This window comes from Homo sapiens, chromosome 14 (assembly GCF_000001405.40).
Source record: "Homo sapiens chromosome 14, GRCh38.p14 Primary Assembly".
Lineage (NCBI taxonomy): Eukaryota > Metazoa > Chordata > Mammalia > Primates > Hominidae > Homo > Homo sapiens.
Window position 1 is genome coordinate 34,346,613 of NC_000014.9, and position 2,684 is coordinate 34,349,296.

The 2,684-nt window shown below is 28.4% G+C and overlaps 1 annotated feature.

Moving 5' to 3' along the window:
* Nucleotides 1,193–1,462: an enhancer, noted in NCBI's record as "active region_8252". NCBI's record gives its function as "activates an Ori minimal core promoter by ATAC-STARR-seq in GM12878 lymphoblastoid cells {active_cell/tissue: GM12878}" and the evidence as "EXISTENCE:reporter gene assay evidence [ECO:0000049][PMID:35858748]".

Below are 2,684 nucleotides of genomic sequence, written 5' to 3' on the forward strand. Positions count from 1 at the left end.
ATGTCACTTTTAGCATAAGTGACTACATTTTTGTTTGGTCTTGTCTGTTGGGACCTAGTGTATGAGCTCTGTCTAAAACAATGGCCTCCCATAATTTTGTTTAAAAATTCCCCCTTTTTGGTCAGGTTCTCACTTAGGTGAAAATATGACCAAAACTTAGGGCCTTAGTGCCACTCTCATTACCATCATTTTGGGCATCTGGTCTCAGTACATCATTCATAGCTTATGATGTCCTTGTGATCAGACATTTCTTCAAGTTTTTGTCATCCCAGTTGAAGAGAAACCATTTGATATTCTAGAAATGGCTGCATGCAAACATTTAAAACTTTTGAGAGAATACAGCATGCCAGTGACACTACTATTATGACTATCAGGAGGATGATACCAAGAGTTTGGGGTATGCTCCCTAGCCAGGATCTCCATGAACCAAACCAACTAAACTAAAATGGATCAAAGAAAGAACTAGATAAAGGGTCTACTCGCCTTAACCAAACAGTCATTAATCTCCCTACAACTGAATCTCTATACTACTCAGTGTATTTCTCCATGGACAACAAGAAGTGCCAGCAACTACACATATACTTCTCTATTTAGCCAGTAAGTAGTCTAGAGTAATACTGTTATTTAGCATAACTTTCACAAGAGAATTTAAAGTCTACTGTGTAACCATAGCCTTTACAGTAGAATCTACTATAGAGCCTATCATGAGGGATACATTTCTAATCATTGCCTCATTTACTCCAAACTATGGAAAAAAGAGACCTAACAAATGATGCCCATAAAGAAGAGTGAAGATCTCCTAGCAATGTTATCTTTAACCCATGACGTAGGTTAAGAGGAGTGGACCAATGTTCTGTTTCTAATTATGTGATAACAAATATATCATTAAAATTTCTCACCCATGTTGGCCCTTCATCTTCCATCTATCAACTAGTCCATATATAAGGCTGGTTGCAAAATCCTTCAAAAATAAAAGTATGCCCCATGAGTACACAACAAACCACCTTTTTTATTTCTAGACATAGGCAAGGAAGAAAACTGAAAGATAGGAATCTCATGATAGCAGAGAAATCTTGATCTGTGATCTTGATAAAAAGCTGTCCATGTCAAAAATGCTATCTTCTTCTGGGGAGAAACTTCCCTGGTTAACTTTACCTTAAGGTTTCCAATGGGTATACAGATCCAAGAGTGTGAAGGGGCCCTTCTGAGTTGTGTTATGAACTCAAGGTTCAAGGTCTCAAAGTGTTGCTGCAGTGTGGATGGCAAGGATAGTCATTCTCTGGTGTTCTCAGAAGATCAAATCTTCAGGTCCTAGGCTGTGAAGGGGTTGATTGTCCTCAGTCAGTGGACCATGAAGAGCTTTTTTTTTTTTTTCAGACAGAGTTTCACTCTTGTTGCCCAGGCTGGAGTGCAATGGTGCAATCTTGGCTCACCACAACCTCCGCCTCCCGGGTTCAAGTGATTCTCCTGCCTCAGGCTCCCGAGTAGCTGCTATTACAGGCATCCACCACCACACTTGGCTAATTTTGTATTTTTAGTAGAGACAGGGTTTCTTCATGTTGGTCAGGCTGGTAATTATATATAATATATATATTTCCTACCTTTGACATATATAAAATATATATAATTATATCTATTATTATATATTATATATTATATATTATATATAACATCTATATACTATATACTATATATTTATATTTAATATAATAATGTATTATATATTAAATATATTATTATATTTTATATATAATATATAATTACATATTTAATATATAACATATATAAAATGTTATATATTTTATATATAATATATAATATATACAATATATTATAATATATAATTATATATTATAATATATAATATACATAATTATATTATATATTATATAATATAGTATATATATTTATATATATTTATATATAAATATATATACTTATAATTACATAAAATTATCTATATAATTTATATAGTACATATAATTATATGTAATTATAAATATAATTATATATACTATGATACATATATACTATATATAATATAGTATATATATACATTCAACGTGTGTCCGTGTTTTTCTTAAAAAAGGAAAACGACAAAGGAAAAACAAATAATGGATGGCTGTTGTCAATGGAAACTGTAAGGAGACTGTGTCCTCACTGCTCACGGATTGTTTATTGGTCAAAGGCCTCAGGAGGCCCAGGACACTTCACGGCCATCACGGTACCAACTGCAGCTATCACCTTTTTTTTTCTTTTTTTCATTTTCTACCTTTTGACATATATAAACACATATATTATATATACTATATACTATATAATATATATAATTATATTATATAGTATATAGTATATAGTATATAGTATATAGTATATAGTATATGTTATATATTATATATTATATGTTATATATTATAATTATAATATATAATTATATATTATATAAATTAAATATATTATATTTAGTATATTATATATAATATATAATATATATTATATATGTTATTATATTTATTATATATAATATATATTATATATATTATTATATTTATTATATATAATATATATTATATATATTATTATATTTATTATATATAATATATATTAAATAATATATATTATATATATTATTATATTTATTATATATAATATATATTAAATAATATATATTATATATTATAATT